The following is an 18,543-nucleotide window of genomic DNA, read 5'->3' on the forward strand; positions in this document are numbered from 1 at the left end:
CCACCTTTTTCTGCCAGTCATTACTCAGTAAATATTTGTTGAGTGTTTGAAAAACATGAATGTCAATGTCTACAGGGAAATTAGTGGAAGGCTGGAACTAGAGCCAGTGCATTCTGACTTTCAGACAACAGCGTTTCCCTTTTACCAGGAGTCCCAGGGCAACCCTCTGATGTCACAAATATTGTGGAAGGTGGTCTGGGGATCCCATCATTAGGGTCCAATAATGGTAGGCTTTTTTTTCTACCTTATACTCTTGGCAACGGTGCATCAGGGTAGGAGGATATGATAGTAAGCTGCTAGTTTTCCTGTCATCCATTTTTCTTTACTTTTTAGCACATGCTGCTGTTTACTCAGATTTTGGTGTGAACATTTGCTTTAGCCTGTGTTATACACACATGTTGAATTTAATTTATAAACAGTTGGGGGATGTCCTGCAAAGAATGCTATGAATGCCAGGTACTTGGTCAACCCTTCCAGTTCAGGAGAAAACTAATTCCTTATTTAAGATGTGACCTGACCCACGCTTTGCCCTGGCCCTTTGCATAGCCTGGAGCGTCTTTACATCATGGGGAGCCCCAGACATAGGGAGAATCTGGTGAAATCTGTGGATCCTTCCCTAGGATAATAACCTTCCTAAAGGTTGCATAACACCAGTGCTATTCTATGATGTGTATGAATTGCTGCTGTGAGCATTCGTCGTATATCAGCCCTTGTGAACCCCTTAACAAACCTGTGAAGTAGCTGCTATCTTATTCCAATTTTACAGAATAGGAACGAAGGCACCAAGAAGTGCATTAACTTTCTCGTAAGTGGACAGTGGCAGAACTAGGATTCAAGTTTGGACTTACTGGCTACAGAGTCCAGCTCCTAAGCTTCACGTGTGCCCCATGCTCAGAAATTTACTTCTTGTATCAAGAAGGTATAGACCTCCAGAGCCCATAGGTAGCCACGGCTATGGACTGTTGGCCTCTAGGTTAAGAAACCCTGAATTTGAAGCTTCCAGCTTCTTCTACTGTCTCCATCATTCTGCTTTGATTTCATCACAATCTACATTAATCACAGCAAGGATAGTTCTAGAAACTTCATTCACCACATAGACCTTTCCTGTCTTTGCTCTTAGCCCATCTGTCCTAGTTAGTTCAGGCTGCTGTAACAAAATAACATAAACTGGTGGCCTAAACAATAAACATTTCTCAGAGTTCTGGAGGCTGGAGGTCCAAGATTAAGGCACCAGCAGATTCAGTATCTGGTGAGGGCCTGCTTTCTGATTCATAGATGATACCTTCTCACATTCCATGGTGGAAGGGAAGGCAGCTGGCTGGAGGCCTCTTTTTTTCTTTTTTTTTGGATGATATCTCATTCTGTCACCTAGGCTGGAGTGCAGTGGCATTATCTCGATCACCGCAGCCTCCGCCTCCTGGGTTCAAGTGATTTTCCTGCCTCAGCCTGCCAAGTAGCTGGGATTACAGGTGCCCGCCACCACACCCGGCTAGCCTTTTGTACTTTTAGTAGAGACGTGATTTCACCATGTTGGCCAGGCTGGTCTCAAACTCCTAACCTCAGGTGATCCGCCCCCCTCAGCCTCCCAAAGCGCTGGGGTTATAAGCACAAGCCACCGTGCCTGGCCTGGGGATCTCGTTTTGAAGTGCACTAATCCCATTCACGAGGGTTCCACCCTCATGGCCTAATCACCTCCCAAAGGCCCTGACGCATCATACCATTACATGGGGGATTGGGGTTTCAATTTGTGAGTTTCCAGGGACAAAAACATTCAGTCTGTAACACCATTCATTGTTCTCCTGTCTTTAGCTGTTAGCTTGGCACCTTCCAGTTTGTGCCTTATCCAGATTCAACTTTTCCTGCTGTTGTTTTAATTTTTAGATTAAATTTTATTTGTATTTATTATTTTTGTAGTACCGTTTTCTTCTAATTTATTTATTTCATTTTGATTAAATGAATTGATTTTAAAAGAAAACTCTTTATCAACACCATTATTGGAAAAACCAGTTCTGTTTGACTGGTAGAGACTTACTGCTAGAAATATGTCCATAATCTACAAAAATAAATCAATCTTGCTCATGTTATTAAATTTTAGGGTTATGCTTATTCTTGAGTAAAAGTGGGAAATGAATGAGTATCAGGGAACTATGTGGGTTATATTAGCACCCAACTATGATTTTCTTTTCTTTGATATAATCAAAAAGATAGAAATAATTCAGAAAAGGCAGTATCTTTTTTTATTCTGTTTTAGTGAACTAAAAGCATCTACTCAATACTTAAGATCTCCCCCCCAGGCCCGGGCTGGGCACAGTGACTCACACCTGTGTAATCTCGACACTTTGGGAGGCCAAGGTGGGTGAATCTCTTGAGGTCAGGAGTTCGAGACCAGCCTGGCTAACATGGTGAAACCCTGTCTCTACTAAAAATACAAAAATTATTTGAGCATGGCTACTCAGGACACTGAGGCAGGAGAATCACTTGAACCCAGGAAGCTGAGGTTGCAGTGGGCGGTGATCACATCATTGCGCTCCAGCCTGGGCAACAGAGCGAGACTCTGTCTCCAAAAAAAAAAAAAAAAAAAGTCCTTACCAATTTGATAGACTCCAAATGGTATCTTATTGCTGTTTCTGCCTGTATATTCTTACCCAGGGCAGACTTCGGTGCCAGATTACAGAGAACTTAGAATGTAGAAAGAACGGTGCAGACCTAGGCAACAGAAGGGAGGAAGACATGTGGGAAAAGACATCCAGAGAGAGAAGCATCCAGAGAAAAAGGAGACCAGAGTCACATCCTTTTTGGCATGCAAATGTTTACATATTGCTTTAGGTTTTGAACATTTTCTTGAGAAGCCTTCTCACTTGCCTGCTCTTCAGAACCGACAGAGGTAGATGCCATCTCAAAAAAAGTAAAATAAAAGATCTCCTCCCAAATAGTATTTGAGCCACCCCCGCTCTTCCTATTGTCCCTGCCTAATGACACTTGTTATTGTGTGAGAAAGTGTTGCTTTAAAGTATAACTTTCTCTGAAAACAGAGAGTTACACCTGTGTGGCCAGTCTTCCGTGCTGTCCAGGAGCTCCACCCTTGATTCTAGAAATGAGTTTGGAAATAACCACCACTGAATATGTGTTTGCTGGCTTCCTGGCCCTGGATCATCTGCTTTCCCAGTGTGATTTTTCTCCAGGTGTCAAAATAGCCCAGCCAGGTAGGCACTGCAGTAATTATCACCATTTGAACAGTGATAGAAACTGAGGCACAGAGAAGTTGGGTAACCTTCCTGAGGTTACCACTGTTAAGTGGCAGAATGGAATTCCAACATGTCTTGAGCTCATATGCATGACATCTTGTGCTCTGCAGTGACTGCCTTCGGTATATTCTGTTTCAAACAGTTCAATGTTATCACTGGTCATCAGAAAATGTGCTAGCTGGGGAAGTTCTCTCATTCCAGTTTTGTGTGTAAACAAAAATATGAGACATTTTTGGAAGGGGTGGGTGGACATGTAACATGCTGTGTGCTCTGGTGAGAAACACTGTAAAATGAAAAATGAGATTAATGTTTCAGATTGTACAGTTCCCTAATTATGCTTTTAATTATTCATATAAAACAAGTAAAATGACCCCTGACAGAGATATAAATGATTTAGGTAAAATCAAATATTTATAAGATGCTGCTGATTCCCTGGGTGTATTGTAACAGATGCAATCAAAACGTTTTGCCTTCGTCCTGTGGATGCAAAATGTTATGTATGGAACTTATAACTGGCTGAGAAGAATCAACAGTGTTTGAAACACTACTGAGCTAATGCCTAGATGTTTTGACATCAGAACTAAAGGTATGTGGTTGGTATAATATAATATTTTAGAAGATATTTTATTATATCTGTATATATAGATATATTTTATATAAGATTTTAGATATTATCTTCTAAGATATTATATTTTAAGGGTCACACAATGATAAGTTTCCCATTTTTACATTTTTAAATGATTTGAAAAGGAAAAGTCGGTAATATTTCATGACACGTTGAAAATTTTGTCAAATTTAAATATCAGTGTGGTTAAATAAAGGTTTATTGGATCATAGCCTCACCCATTCATTTAAGTATTATCTGTGGCTGCTTCTGTGCTATAAAGACAAGATTGAGTAGTTACAGTAGAGACCAATTGGCCTGCAAAGCCTAAAATATTTACCAACTGGCCCTTTACAGGAAAAGTTTACGACCCCTGTTCTAAAACATGCCCAACACAGAGTGAAGGTGGCACAGTGCTGTAGCATGTTTAATTGGCACAAGAAACACTTACTTTTACTTCATTTTATCCTTTAATTTGCTGTTCTACTAATTGAGCATTCCTTGTATATTTTTTCAGAAGTTGGAGAAAAACTGCCTTTTGAATGCAATAAAAAGGGATTTATATGAGAAGGTTCCTTCACTTGCTTTTAATGCTTCCTTTATATAGAGAAGTACTGAAACTAATTGCAGTATTCTAGAAATGGGTCATTAGCCTAGTCCCTATCTTTTATGGAGACCTAATTTTCATGCAGGATTTCTCGCTAAAGCTCTAACTAGGATCTCTTTAGGAAGAGGAGACAATGAGGATAAGTACTTTCCCATGGCTTACACAAGCTTGGCTTTTGATCACAAACCATTCGGTATATTGTTTGGCACCTTACATGTGTTTAGCAGCCAATAAGTATTTATTGAATGAATGAATGAATGAATCCACTTCTAGAGAAACAAAAAAAGGGAATATATCTCTTGAATAGAATTTGTTTTTTATGCATTTAGACATTATATTCCTTTTGGAAAAATATTTTTTGTCAGTGTAAATCCAAGTTATTCTCAATTTCTCCTTCCTGTATTTCAAGAAAGAGCAGTATATTTTTGAAATTTAGGGTTGGAATTTAGTTGAGGTTCCCTATGTTGCGGATGCTTTCAGGTATTCTTTGGATGGGTTAAGGGAAAATATTTTTTTGCTTGAAAGTAAAAGAAACAGTCAAGAAAACGAGTTAGCTGCCAGTATTTGAGTGACTTCAAGAGTAGATTTTTGCATTACACTTTCCTGGGTACTGTTATTAAATACAGACTCCCAACTGTCTTCCCACTTACTGTTGCCTTGATATTGGAAGCACCCACAAATTTTTATTTCCTGATATCTTGCCTACATTTTCTGACCAAAGAAACATGCCTATTGCATCTGGCTGATCATATATATTTCCTCTCTTGTTCCAGACCTTGAATCTTGGGGTAGCCCCATGAATCAGTGCTTAAAAAGAAAAATCTTGCTCTCTAGATGATTTTGACCATCAAGCAGTTTTAGGAGACACTGATTCAGAGCGACTTTTTCTGTCATTGTTTCCATTTTTTTTTTTAAATCTGTTAAATGGATAAGTAATTCTGAGATCATTCTCTGGAAAGTATCATGATTTAGGGCCAACTGGTGCTCTGAGAGCATTCTGCAGCTAGAATGAACTAATTTATTCAGGCGGGTGTGTTCAACATATTTTTTCATAGGTACATGAGGACATAATTCATATCATGGTAATGGTGAACTTTATTAGAAGTAACAGAAAAACTCCATTTGGTTTTGAAACTCACTTTGTTTTCCTCTCTTCTCATTTGTTTCACACAGTCGCCATCCTTCTGAAAGACGACTATTTTGTCAGTGGAGCTGGTCTACCTGGCAGATTCAAAGCTGAGAAGGTGGAATTTCACTGGGGCCACAGCAATGGCTCAGCGGGCTCTGAACACAGCATCAATGGCAGGAGGTTTCCTGTTGAGGTGAGAGAAAGTCAAGATCTCAACGTGTAGCTGTGCTTCGGTCTTTATGTTAATCAGATGCTGTGCCCTTACCCTCAGTCATTTTGCAAATCACAGCTGTACAGTACCTAACTTCCTCTCTCTGGAAACCCTTTATCCATAGTATGGCAGGTGGGTATCCATCCTTGTTTCTCACCTTTGTTTAACTGGAGAAACACAGAAGCCACAGGCATCATGGTTTGAGTAGACTCACTACTGGTTGATGATGTTCATCATGTGTTTCATTTGACACAGTTTCTTTTCACTGTCTGTTCCCATTTTTGAAAGGTGACATTTTGTACGAAACTGGGTTGACTTCATTTTCACCCTTAAGAAAATAGAAAAGTTGGCAACATGAAGAGGAGTCTCTCTCAGAACCTTCTCTTGGTAGCAAAGTTTTAAGTTTTTTTTGCTCTCACTGGCTGTTGAAAAAGAGGCTGTGGTGGTATGAGTCACTGTTAATTTTGTTAGGATTGATGGTGACATTTTGCTTCTGCTGTGTCAGTCTTCTCAGTGATCCATCCTGCTGGACAGAAGAAGGGTGTGGGTGCACTAGGTCAGATGCTGCTGTGTATCTGCTTAGAGCCAGGGTGAGGGCGGGAGCATGTCTCCAACTCCTTTATTAATGTTGAGTAGGGACAGCACATCTCTTCCAATGCCAACCTTATATATTTCCTCTAATCATGATTGTTGTGTGAATATTCTTTTGTTGTGATGAACATGTTTGTTTCTTGGTAGGTCCCCCATGTGGTAAGCCTTAGAAGTGTGTGGAAGAACAAAATAGATGTGGTTCTGAAACCTGCCCAATAGTCCTATAGACAGTTGCTTTGGATAAACATAGAAATTGACCCTTCTGCTCTTAAAACTCCACACTTATGTTTTATTTGAGTTCCTTCCTCAGGAAAGGACCTTCAGGCCTCTCAAAAAAGTATCAAAGGGCTGAAGTTCACCAGACCATTGCACCAAATACCTCCTTGCCCCTCCTTAGTTCTTGTTTTCTTACACATTGTTACATTTCTTCCTTGCTATATAAATCTCTAGTTTTAGTCAGTCGGGGAGCTGGATTTGAGACTGAGCTTCCATCTCTTCTCTCGACTGCAGCACCCGATTAAAGCCTTCCTTGGCGATGCTTGTGATCTCAGTGATTGGCTTTCTGTGCAGCGAGCAGCCGGACCTAGACCGAACCCCTGGTGTTTCAGTAACAGTTCCAGCCGATGGCTGTATTCAAACATGGAGTGACTTTTCACTGGTAACATATGTTAATCAAAGGAGCTGCATGGCCAAGAAAGGTTTTCAACTGTTAGAATTTCATAGCTTCTACGTCTTGTCCTGCTTTGATAATCTGATGAATTCTTGAGACCCCCTTCACAAAGAAGACACATGCATCTATCTACACATAGATTTACATGTAACTGATAGGGTTTCGTCATTCTCCCTAGCTCCTCAGGCCCATTTTTGAACCCTCTAAGTATCCTGGAAGCTCTGTTGAAGAATCTCTACACAATATGAAAGTAATGTTTATTTTTCTATAGATGCTTATATGGCCATGTATATTTGTTTCTTATCCACTGTTCCTGGAGAAACCAGAGATAACTACTCTGAGAAAATGCTTCATGTTTTTTCTTGTTTAGCTGACAAATTCTCAGTATCAGAATTCTTCCTGCATTAGGACTCCTCTATCTGTGGGACTTCCTATCCTAGTCACAATAACGATATCTTTCATGAGTTGGGTTTCTACTTAATTGGTTCTCTTCCACCCTTAAAATGGAATGAATCATTTCTTAGAAGTCTTAGCTTTATTTCCACTTGGAAAACTTTATTCCTAGAAGCAAAATTACATCATGTTCTTAAGTGTAGGATTTTCCTTCTGGTCTTGCTGACAGGTTCCCATTGGCAATATGAGTTGAAGGGGTAGCTTTGTGTCCAGCAAGCCTTGCTCTGAAGCCTCTTTGTCTTAGAATTGGGTTTCCGTTTGTTCATTTAATGTCGTTTTGGACAAAAGACCTGTCCTGAAAGTTTAAAAACTTAATCAGATGGCTACCTTGGAAAAGAAGACCTCTAGAGCTAGGAACTGGGAACCTTGCCTCTGTGTAATTACATTTCCTCATGCCAAAAATGGCCAGTTTCCTCTTTACATTTGATTCTGGGAATAACGTATCAAAGACATTAATATCCTTTTTTTTTTTTTTTTTTTTTTTTTTTTGAGATGGAGTCTCACTCTGTTGCCCAGGCTGGAATGTAGTGGCGCATGATATCAGCTCACTGCAATCTCCGCCTCCTGGGTTCAAGCAATTCTCCTGCCCCAGCTTCCCAGGAAGCTGGGATTACAGGTGTGTGCCACCATGCCTGGCTAATTTTTGTATTTTTAGTAGAGACAAGGTTTTACCATGTTCGCCAGGCTGGTCTTGAATTCCTGACTTCAAATGATCCACCTTTCTCAGCCTCCCAAAGTGTTGGGATTACAGGCGTGAGCCACCGTACCTGGCCAGAGATTAATATTCTTTTGAAACCTATGGCTTTTGATGAATATTTCAGTTTTACATTTCTCAGAGGGAGCCATTGAATTCAGAAGCTAATTAGAAATGGCAGCCACCATGCCCAGGCTTATTGTTTGACCAGGTTGTTTGGATGTTTTTCTTTTAAGTAATGTCAGATGGTAAGGCTGCCTATATCAATTGGGTTTCTCATTGAGGTCCATCTGATTCATAGCTTGATTTCTAAAAATGTGATAACCATATTAATGGTATATTTGGAGGAACTTGAATTTCAGAGATTAAATAACTGCATTAAATTTAACTTTAAAATATGCACAAGAAAGTTGCTTGCCTTTGCCCAAAGTGTGTCTGTGATATTTTATGTTAAGTTGCTTTATTTGAGCTCTTCATTAATACCCATCTCTCCCTACGATTTTTATACTATTTGAGCATCTTACGCTTGGTTTATTTCTTTTCATATAACTACATTGTTTTCCATATAACTACATTGTTTTCATTCTTAAAAACTAGAATGAAAGTAAGAAAATTTAATTTATCATGGAGCAATTTATCAGCATTGGGGGCATTAATTATTTGTCTTGCATGCAGTATGTATGAGGGCTACAGAAGAATCATTGTTGAAGATTGTACTAGGATTGGTAGAGTACAGCTATGGTTCTGAGCTGGGGTCAGCATCTCCCCCCTGCACCCTGGGACATTAGGTAATGTCTGGAGACATTTCTTGTTATTGCCATTGTTAGAAGTGTTATGGTATTACTTTCTAGTTGGTAGAGGCCAGGGATACTGCTATACATTCCAATGTAAAGGACAGCCCCCACTAAAAGGAATCATCCAGCCCCAAAATGTCACTAGTGTCACTGTGGTGAGATTCTGGAGTGGAGAAAGCAGTGTGTTTAGTGGAATTAAGCATTTCTTTATCTAAGTAGCATCATTTAAAATACATTTGAATAAAGAGGACTTGTTTCTTGGGAAGTCATTCCATCCTCTTTGGTTTTTAGAGAGTAAATGTACCTTGCCTTATGTGTAACAGCATTGCTGTTCCTGGTTTCTTTAGTATCTACTTGAGATGCAGTCACGACCTTGGGAATTTTAACAGCTCCCTCTGTGCTGTGGCTCTGCAGGCTGAATTTTAAACATGTGCCCCACAAGAAGCTGGATCTGCTCCCTGAGGGTAAATGGCAGCAAACTCAACTTTGTAGGTTTTGTTGCTTCCCAGGAATTCTTTGAGGTCATCTGAGACAACTTTGTAGGCATCCAGAAATTAAAGCTCTCTGAATTTTCCTGGCTGGAATCCTAGACTCCGTCTTGTAGTTCCTACACTTAAAAACATCTAGTCTAATAGTTAACAAAGAAAGCCCTTGTACAAACAAAACAACAAAACAAGACGAAAGCTCTTCAATAACCAGTGTTCTTTACAGCTCAGTTAAAGTTAGAAAAGAAAGTTGAAGTCAGATTACAATGCCATGCCTTGGAGACTGAACTCAATTTGGATCCTCAGATGCCCTCACCTCCTGTTACTGAGCTTTATTCCTTGCCTAGCAGCACATTTTTCTTGAGTATCTTCTGTTGTACCTGTGCTGGTACACAAAGATAAGTCAGAAAGTCACAGTTCCTGCCTTCAAGGTATTTACACTCCAGTGGTGACACAGAAATTAAACATTGGTCATGTAAATATATGTGCAATTTCATTTGTGTTATAGTCTGAAGTAGAGGGACATTTTGATAGGGGATGGAAGCTTTCAATGGAGACATGGATACTTATTAGACGGAAAAGATGAGTTGGAGCTTCCTAGTAGAATAAGGATATGCAAAAGCCCTGAGGCAGGTGGTGTTTGTTAAGTTTAAGGAATAGAGAGGCCAGTAGAGATTTTGGTAGGCAAGATAATGTCTCTTCTTCCAAATGTCTGCTGTAAATACGTTACTTTATGTGGTACAACAGACTTTGCAGATGTGATTAAGTGTCCTTAAAGTAAACAAACTCAGAATATTCCAGTCATTAAAACAGGATGACCTGTTTCAGTTCTTCTGTGGCTACTCAGCTTTCTGTTGTCTGTCCAGCCACAGTTATCTATGACAGCTTCTATCGTATCCTAAACTTTTTTCCTATTCCACACTCATTCCTGTTCTGTGGTTGGTAACTTAAATAAAGGTTCATATAACACTAATAGAAATTGAATCATGCTGTATTTCCACTAATAACCAAAGTTGCAGTTAATGCAAAGAGAAACCTCCAGATAAAACCTTTGAGAACTCCATTAAAGTGGGGGGTTCATTGCATGCTTGTTGTTTGAGGTAATTAAAATCTTATTTATGACAATAAAAGATCACGGGAGTTGTTGATTCAGACTTACTGGTGCTTTATGAGTTGAAGTCTTCAATAAGCTTAAATGATCCAAATTGATTGTATGTGCCCCTTCTGGTAAAAGTCACAGCTGGTTCATTTCAGCTCTGTTCAGAGCATTTTAGTGAATGAATAGAAGCAAAGGCATTTTTCCTAATGTATACCATGTACACGTTACCATATGGTACAGGTCTGCAATCCCTTATCTGAAACTCTTGAGGCCAGATGTTTTAGAATTCAGAATCTTTCTTAGAAAGTTATTATAGCCCAGCGGTCCCCAACCTTTTCGACACCAGGGACTGGTTTTGTGGAAGACAGTTTTTCCGTGGACTGGGTGGGGTCGGGGGTTCAGAATGAAACTGTTCCACCTCAGATCATCAGGCATTAGTTGGATTCTCAAAAGGAGCATGCAGCCTAGATCCCTCGCACGTGCAGTTCACAATAGGGTTTGTGCTCCTATGAGAATGTACTGCTGCTGATTTGACAGGAGGCAGAGCTCAGGTGGTAATGCTCCTTGCCCACCACTCACCTCCTGCTGTGCGGCCCAGATCCTAACAGGCCATGGACTAGTACTGGCCCTGTTGGAGCCCATGTGCCATGTATATTTCAGAAGGCAACCAGTAAGGTCTGGAACTACACCCTTAAATTCATTAATATTCCTATAACGAGCAAATGAACAGCCATGCTAAGTGGAAATATCAGTACTCTACATAGCTTCACATTTCTTCATATCTGGTTTTACCACCAAATTAGTTTTTGTACCAAATTCATAAAAAGAACAAAATACCTTTTTGTCTTGAAAAAGTATCCAGGGCCATTGTATGGGTCTCATGCCTATTGAGTGACTTCAATGTCTTATGTCTAAAGAGCACTGCTGGGTAGTTACAACCATGACACAAGCAGGTTAAATCATGTGTCTCCCTGTGGGGTGGATGTGTCCCAGTACTTCTCTCTTCCTCCTCCTGTCTTTGTCTTCATATTGTGCAGCATTCTTAGGCAAAGTTCAGGATTGTCCAGCCAGAAGTTTCTAGTTTTAGGCTGACCTTGTTCTGTGATCGATTCTCCTTTGAACATTCTGTTTGGGCCTGCAATTGTCTTCAATATCCATGTCTTCAGGTATGTTACCTTGACCTCCTACTGCACTCTTCTCCTGTCTGCTCAAATCCTGCCTTCCTCCTGAGAGCCTTCCTAATGATTTGCCATCAATTTTATGAAGTCGATCGGGGTTCTTCCCTGGAATACGTCTGTCACATTTTGGTTGGAGAGTTGTCTTGTAATGACCCCTAGGTTATGGCTCAGGTAAGAGAATGTGTTCCTTGTCTCTGGTAAGCACGTCCAGTTGTGTCACACACATAAAGGCCTTGCACAGTGCCACCCTCTCCACACTGATGCAGGCACTCAGGTTCCTGCCTTACTTAGATGTGGACCAGCCTGTCTAGGGTTTGAGGCCCACATGGATCCTGAGCTTCAGCAGCATGATATGTTAAAGCCTAGACTACATGTCAGGTTGGGTAGCACCGCTTAAATAATCCCTCCTTCACTGCTGGAATAAGTTTATGTATACATATTTGTATGCATGTATGAATGACAAGGTCTTACTGTGTCACCCAGACTGGAGAGCAGTGGTGTGATCACAGCTCACTGCAGCCTCAACTTCCTGGGCTCAACCGGTTCTCTTGCCTCAGCCTCCCGAGTAGCTGGGGCTACAACCACACACCACCGTGCCCAGCTAATGTTTTTTATTTTTTGTAGAGACAAGGTCTTGCTATGTTGCCCACGCTGGTCTTGAACTCCTGATCTCAAGCAGTCCTCCCTCTTCGCCCTCCCAAAGCCTGGGATTTCAGGTGTGAGCCACCATGCCTGGCCTGGAAATAAGTGTGATGGATGAAATACTTTCTTGAAGATTTATTTGTACATTGGCATATTAAGGGCTTTGAAGAGTCCTCCGCTGAAGAATCTGTTTACCTTTGTTTAACACAATGTTTTCCCAAACTTACATGGCCTCTGTCCCTCTCTTCTTGTGTGTGTGTGTGTGTGTGTGTGTGTATAAGTTCATAATATCACTGTTTTGGAAATGTAAGTTTATACTTTTCTCCTCTCAACCTTTAGTCCATATTCCTTTTAAGAAATGGGGTCCTGTTCAAATACATTGTTGTTTTGGTTTCTTTTCCTTTTCTATTTTGTTTTTGAGATGAAGTTTTCCTGTGTTGCCCAGGCTGGTAGTGCTGGCTACTCAGCAGCATCTCATGAGCCCAGGAGTTCAAGGCCAGCCTGGGCAACATAATGAGAGTCTATCTCTAATAAAATAAAATAAAATAAAAAATAAAACTATAAAGACATCTTGGCTTGTTCAAGAAACAATTTTTTAGCATCTTTATGAACTTGATGCTATCTTGTTTTATCATTAGAACTGTCATCAGAGGGGGTCTGAGATATTTTCTATTAAAAATAACATTTCCAGTATAACAGTTTTTCCCCCGTGTTGTGTACTTTATGTCAGTTCCTGGAATTATTACAGGTGATGCACGATTTTTGCTCCTTTAGCTAAGCAAGGTCCAGGTTCTTGTCTCATGACCAGGAAAAATTAGGCACGTGGACACCAGAGAGTGAGTGCAGTAGAATTTATTAAGTGAAAGGAAAGCCTTCAGCAAAGAGAAGGATCCTGAAAAAATGGTTTCCGGTTGCCCCCTTCCCAGTTGAATACCCTGGCTTGTATCTAAAAAACTGATGAGGCTGGGTTCCTTATTTGTATATGGCGTGAATTCCTGGTGGCTCCACCCCATCCTTCCAGTGCGCATGCAGGCCCTTAGACTGAGCTGCTTCATATTGATTTATTTCCCTCCCGTGCATGTGTTAAGGAATTGAATTGTCCGCCGCTGGCATATTTAGGCAAGCTCCCTGTGCAGGTTCCCTTATCTGCACAAAGTATCTGGTGTAAACACATGGGGCGGGTCGGAGGTTCTACGGGAACCCTTCCCTTACTGTCTGCCTATAGAAAGCTGGTTAACTCCTTTCATAGAGTCTCTGAAAAGTTTCTTTTTTCACAGAGTCCTTTGTCATGAAGCTTAAGACAATGCCTGTTTTCTCTGTGCTGCCTCTTCATGGAGCGTGGACGTGTTAGAGAGATCATCCCATGGTTATCTGGTGTTTGCTATTCTGTGGTGTAGCCTAGTAGTGACTTCCATCAAATGGGAAAGGAATTGGTTGAAATTTAGTTAATGACTTTATTGAAATAAAGATTCCATTTCAGAGCAGAATGTTTCATCCTTTGCTAGTGAAATGTTTAATTTCCATCTGGCTGATCTTTTATGTGTATGTCCTGTGTTAATTAAGAGGAACATGTGAGGATGCCCTAGTACTTAGAGAATACTCAGTGGAGAAGTTAATGCCTGGTTGTGCAAAGCAAGCGTGCAAGTTTTGTGAGGTAAAACAGCTTTGGTCCCTGGCTTGGTAAATCTCCATGATGTCTGGCAGTCCTCATCGCAGTCATCCTTAGACAAGAACTTGGCTCAGGGCTGTTTGATGGTGTGTCAGTGACACGTGGTGTGCTGATAGCTGTTTGAATCATACCAAAAACTACAGTAAAGAAGATGGCACACTCTGAAAAGAAAACCTGGTTAAGTTGGAGATACTCTCAGTGTAGAAACTTGGTGACCGTGGTGGCCCTCACAACCATATAGAAGGCTTAGGGTAGTGGCGGTTGTGGTTGAAGTCACTGATACTGGTGTTGGTAGTGGTAATAGTGATGATATTGTAGATGCAATTTAATAGACACGACCTATATCAGGCACTTTCTAGATGTTTCTTCATGTCAACCTTGTGAGAGAGGGACTCTTCTTATACCCATCTTAAAGATGGAAAGACTGAGCTTCTGCAGGCTTGGCTGAGACTTCCTGTTAGTACTCCAGAATCTGGGCTCGAATATCTCCAACACCTTAACCATAATTGGTTTTATTAGGTAAGTAATTCTGCTGTTTTTCTTGTCATTGTTTTAGGTTGTTTTCAGAACCGCTGATGCAGTAGGTAGAAGTCATTTTTTCAGAATCTTAACTGTTGCTTATTGTACCAGTTGAGTGTTCCTCATCTGAAATGTCTGGGACCAGAAATGTTTAATTTTTAAATTTTTTTTATTTGGGAACATTTACTTATATATAATGAGGTTTCTTGGGGATAGGATTCAAGTCTAAACACAGAATTCATTTATGTTTCATATGCCCCTTAAATACGTAGCCTGAAGGTAATTTTTTATAAGTTTTAAATAATTTTATGGATGAAACAAAGTTGTGAGTGCATTTTCATTGCAACCCGTCACGTGAGGTCAGGTGTGGAATTTCCCACTTGTGGCATCATATCAGAGCTCAAAAAGTGTCAGATTTTCAAGCATTGAAAAGATTTTGGATTTTTAAGATTTGGGATGCTCAATCTGTATCGTAGGAAAGAAAAAAATGAAAGGGCTTCAAATGTTCAGAGATGGCTGAACCTGTAGTAAAATATACAGAGAGATACGAAGGGAATAGAAATTAGTCAGCACTTATGCCTAGAGCTATCTGTGCAAAAGGGTATACTTTTTATCTGGATTGACCGCTTCAGTCTATTTTTAATCACTGAGAGCAATACTATCTGGTAAAAATATAATGTGAACCATACATTGTCACTTTAAATTTTCAGAAGCCTCCTTAAAAGAGGTAAAAAGGAAGATATTATTTTATTTTATTTTAACAAATATTTTTATATTATACAATAATACAACTTAAACAAGAATATTTACTATAAAAGAAATTCAATTTCAGTTGAATTAATCTGTTTCCCCAATACATTCCAAAATATTGTTTTAACATAAAATCAATATAAAAAGGTATCGCTGAGACATAGTACATTCTATTTTTATACTATGTCCTTGAAGTCTGGTTTGTATTTTACAGTTACTACCATACTAAAACTTGCAAAACTTTTTGATTCCAGACCACAATAATGGAATTTTGATAATAAACTACATGAGAGACTAACAAATTCTTTAGGAGGTGTTTTTATGTTGAATTTTTGGTAATTTTGACTTCTTCTCTTCCAACGGCGGCAACAAAAAAGGTGAAAGGATAGAAAGTAGCAGGTATGTACAGTGAACAAATCTGAAGAACTAATGTACAGCAGAGGGACTATAGTTAATAAAAATGTATTGTATGCAGTATTCAGGATTTTTGCTAAACGTGTGGATTATCTCTGCTCTTGCAGCAGGGCTTGGGTAGCTATGGGAAATGATGGGTATATTAATATGTTTCACTATAATCATCATTTTACTATCTAGATTATGTACCTCATAATGTTGTATACCTTAAAATAAAATTTGTTTTAAAAATACACATATAGTAGTTCAGTTTTATATTGGAATCTGATTTATTTATTGAAAAGGCTTCACTTAGATGCTGTACAGGTTTTTTTTTTTCTTCTTCTTTATAAGCTTTAACTTTTTTCCTCTTATTCTTTTTTGCAACATTTGTTCCTGGAGCTTTGAACACTATTCTTCTCAGAATCCACTTCCAAGCTCGGGAACTCAAATAAAGCTGGCTGGGGAGACCTTTGTGCACTGAAGGTAGAGACTTCAGGCCGCCAGATCAGATGTATTGTAAGTTCAGGTCAAGAGGATTTATGGGCCTGTGTATCAGCAACACCACCAACTGCCTTTTTCTCTTGTCCTGTCAAAATTTGAGCGGGAAGGTTTCAAGCCATCTTAAATCTAAAGCCTTTAGCAAGTTCTTTAGTGCCACCGTCACTCAGAAGGGACAGTCAGAAAGATTTATAAGGAATAGAAGGGAGTCAAGTTTGAAAGAAAGTCTATTTCCTCTCTTCCCTTTAAATCCCTGGCATAGAATTTCATTGCACCCCCCCTTTAATGGAATGGGAAGAAAGTTTCAAAAGCTTCTCAGTCCGGATTGTTTGGCCTGGCGCTGTATTGAGCACGGATACTGCTCTGGATACGTTTACTGTGATGGATGGAGACCAGCTGGGCAAATTTACCAAAACCCTATCTTATTTAAAAATATAAATTTCATCTCTTGAGTGTTGGAGGATGTCTTAGCAAGACAGGGTACTTTAAAACTCAGGTTAGTATGTGGAAGATATTTAGGTTAATAGTAAAATAACTTCTAAATCCCAGCTATTACCACACAGATAGAGCTTCAACTCCTGAATCTCCCTATTAAAACCTTCACTCTGTTCATTTCTAAAATTCAGTATTTCAGGGAATTTTCTGAGTTCATGCCTCTGTGTTCAGCATGCCCTGATTAGGGAAGACTTGGAGTGAGAGAAACCTCACGCACTCCCCTTGCTATTTCTTAGCCTGCCTCTGTGTTTGCTTCTTTGAATTTGTCTTTGTCTCTGATTGCCTGTCTCTATCTCTTTCATCATCATTCTTTGTGTCATTTATTGGAAGGGTATAAGTGGGTACTGAAATACCTAAGCATATATAGTCAGCACCCATCGAAAAAGATGGCCCCAGCATATTTTCTGGATTCATCTTATTCTATCTAAATTATCTGCCTAAAAGTTGACTTAGGAAATGCTGCATGACATGTCTTCCTCTTAGAGCTTGATAATGGGCTATCACAGTCCTGAGACATATTCTAGGGCTAACATAGTCCTGAGACATATTCCAGGGCTAACATAGTTCTGTGACATATGCCAGTAGGGAAACCCCAAATAGTTCAGTGGAGAGCTTTTCTTTCAGCCATGATGCCATGATAATACAGTATGTAGAATGTTTAAATTATTTCCTTACTGGCTTCTCTAGAGACATTTCTAAATGACGCACAGTGTTTATTCATTTGGTTCATTAACAGAGCCTTCTCTGTGGAGGGCAGAGTGTCCTGGCCTCAAGAGGCTTTTTCTTCAGCAGGCACTGAGGCCCTGAGACAGGAGCCTGCCTGGCCTGTTTGAGGCAGAGGCAGGAACCCGGGGCTGCTGAAACAGCAGGAGAAAGGAGCAGAGTGATAGGAGGTGCGGTCAGCAGATAGGCAGTGTGATGGTGTGAGGTCTTGGAGACCATGGGAAGCTCTGTGGCTTTTACTGCAGGCAAGATGGGAAATTGTTAGAATGTTTTCAGCAGAGAATGTTCTCCATCTCAGTTTCCTAACTTATATTTTTTAACATTTTATTTTAAACAAAAAAAATTTTTTTTTACAACCCAAGGTCTTGCTGTGTTGCCCAGTCTGGCCTCGAACTCCTGGGCTAATGCAATCGTTCCACCCCAGCCTCCTGAACAGCTGGGACTACAGGCACACACCATCACACCAGTCTATCTAGTTTATGTTTTAGAAGGATCCGTCTGGCTGCACTTGAGAGTGGGGAAGACCTGTGGGTGCTGAGAGCCAGGCTAGGAGATAATTGTAACATTTCAGGAGAGAGGATGGTTGGGTGGGCCACAGAGGAGTGTTTTGAGAAAAACATCTGATTCCAATTGTTTTGAAGGCAGAAGATGCTCGTGGAGGGGATATCATGTTGATGTTATCTCAGGGCATGCGGTTTATACTTCTTGGTTTAAAAAAAGAACAATTTGAGGAGAGAAAATCATGGACAACTTACCAGTCAGTAAGTTTTTTAAAAGTCTTTTAAAGCTTTGACTATCCAGTATTCAAATCTTGTGTAATACCTATTACAGATCAGTTTTCACTGCATAATATGTTATATACTAAAGAATGTAACATAGAGAAGTGATCATTAAGCACATTATTAATAGTATAAACCCCCTCCTCATAGAGTAAATTTGAGTTAATAGACATAGAGTACTTTGAGCAGGATTTGGCATTCTTACAGTTTATTTATATTAACTATATATATTTTTAAGACCTAGTCTCACTCTGTTACCCAGGTTGGAGTGCAGTGGCATGATCTTGGCTCACTGCAACCTCCGCCTCCCAG

The 18,543-nt window shown here is 40.0% G+C and overlaps 1 protein-coding gene across 7 annotated transcripts in view; it reads left to right on the forward strand.

Annotated features, from left to right (window-relative positions):
- Positions 1 to 18,543, forward strand: part of PTPRG (protein tyrosine phosphatase receptor type G) — a 736,039-nt gene that overhangs the window by 436,149 nt on the left and 281,347 nt on the right. For 4 of the 7 annotated variants that reach the window (NM_002841.4, NM_001375471.1, XM_047448646.1 and 1 more), the window contains exon 4: positions 5,630 to 5,778. In NM_002841.4, coding sequence (NP_002832.3) covers positions 5,630 to 5,778 — 149 coding nt within the window. Of the gene's footprint in view, positions 1 to 5,629; positions 5,779 to 18,093; positions 18,214 to 18,543 lie in introns of all 7 variants that reach the window. The other 3 variants (XM_017006961.2, XM_017006963.2, XM_017006962.1) reach the window with 1 other exon arrangement.

Source organism: Homo sapiens, chromosome 3 (genome assembly GCF_000001405.40).
Source record: "Homo sapiens chromosome 3, GRCh38.p14 Primary Assembly".
Classification (NCBI taxonomy): Eukaryota; Metazoa; Chordata; class Mammalia; order Primates; family Hominidae; genus Homo; species Homo sapiens.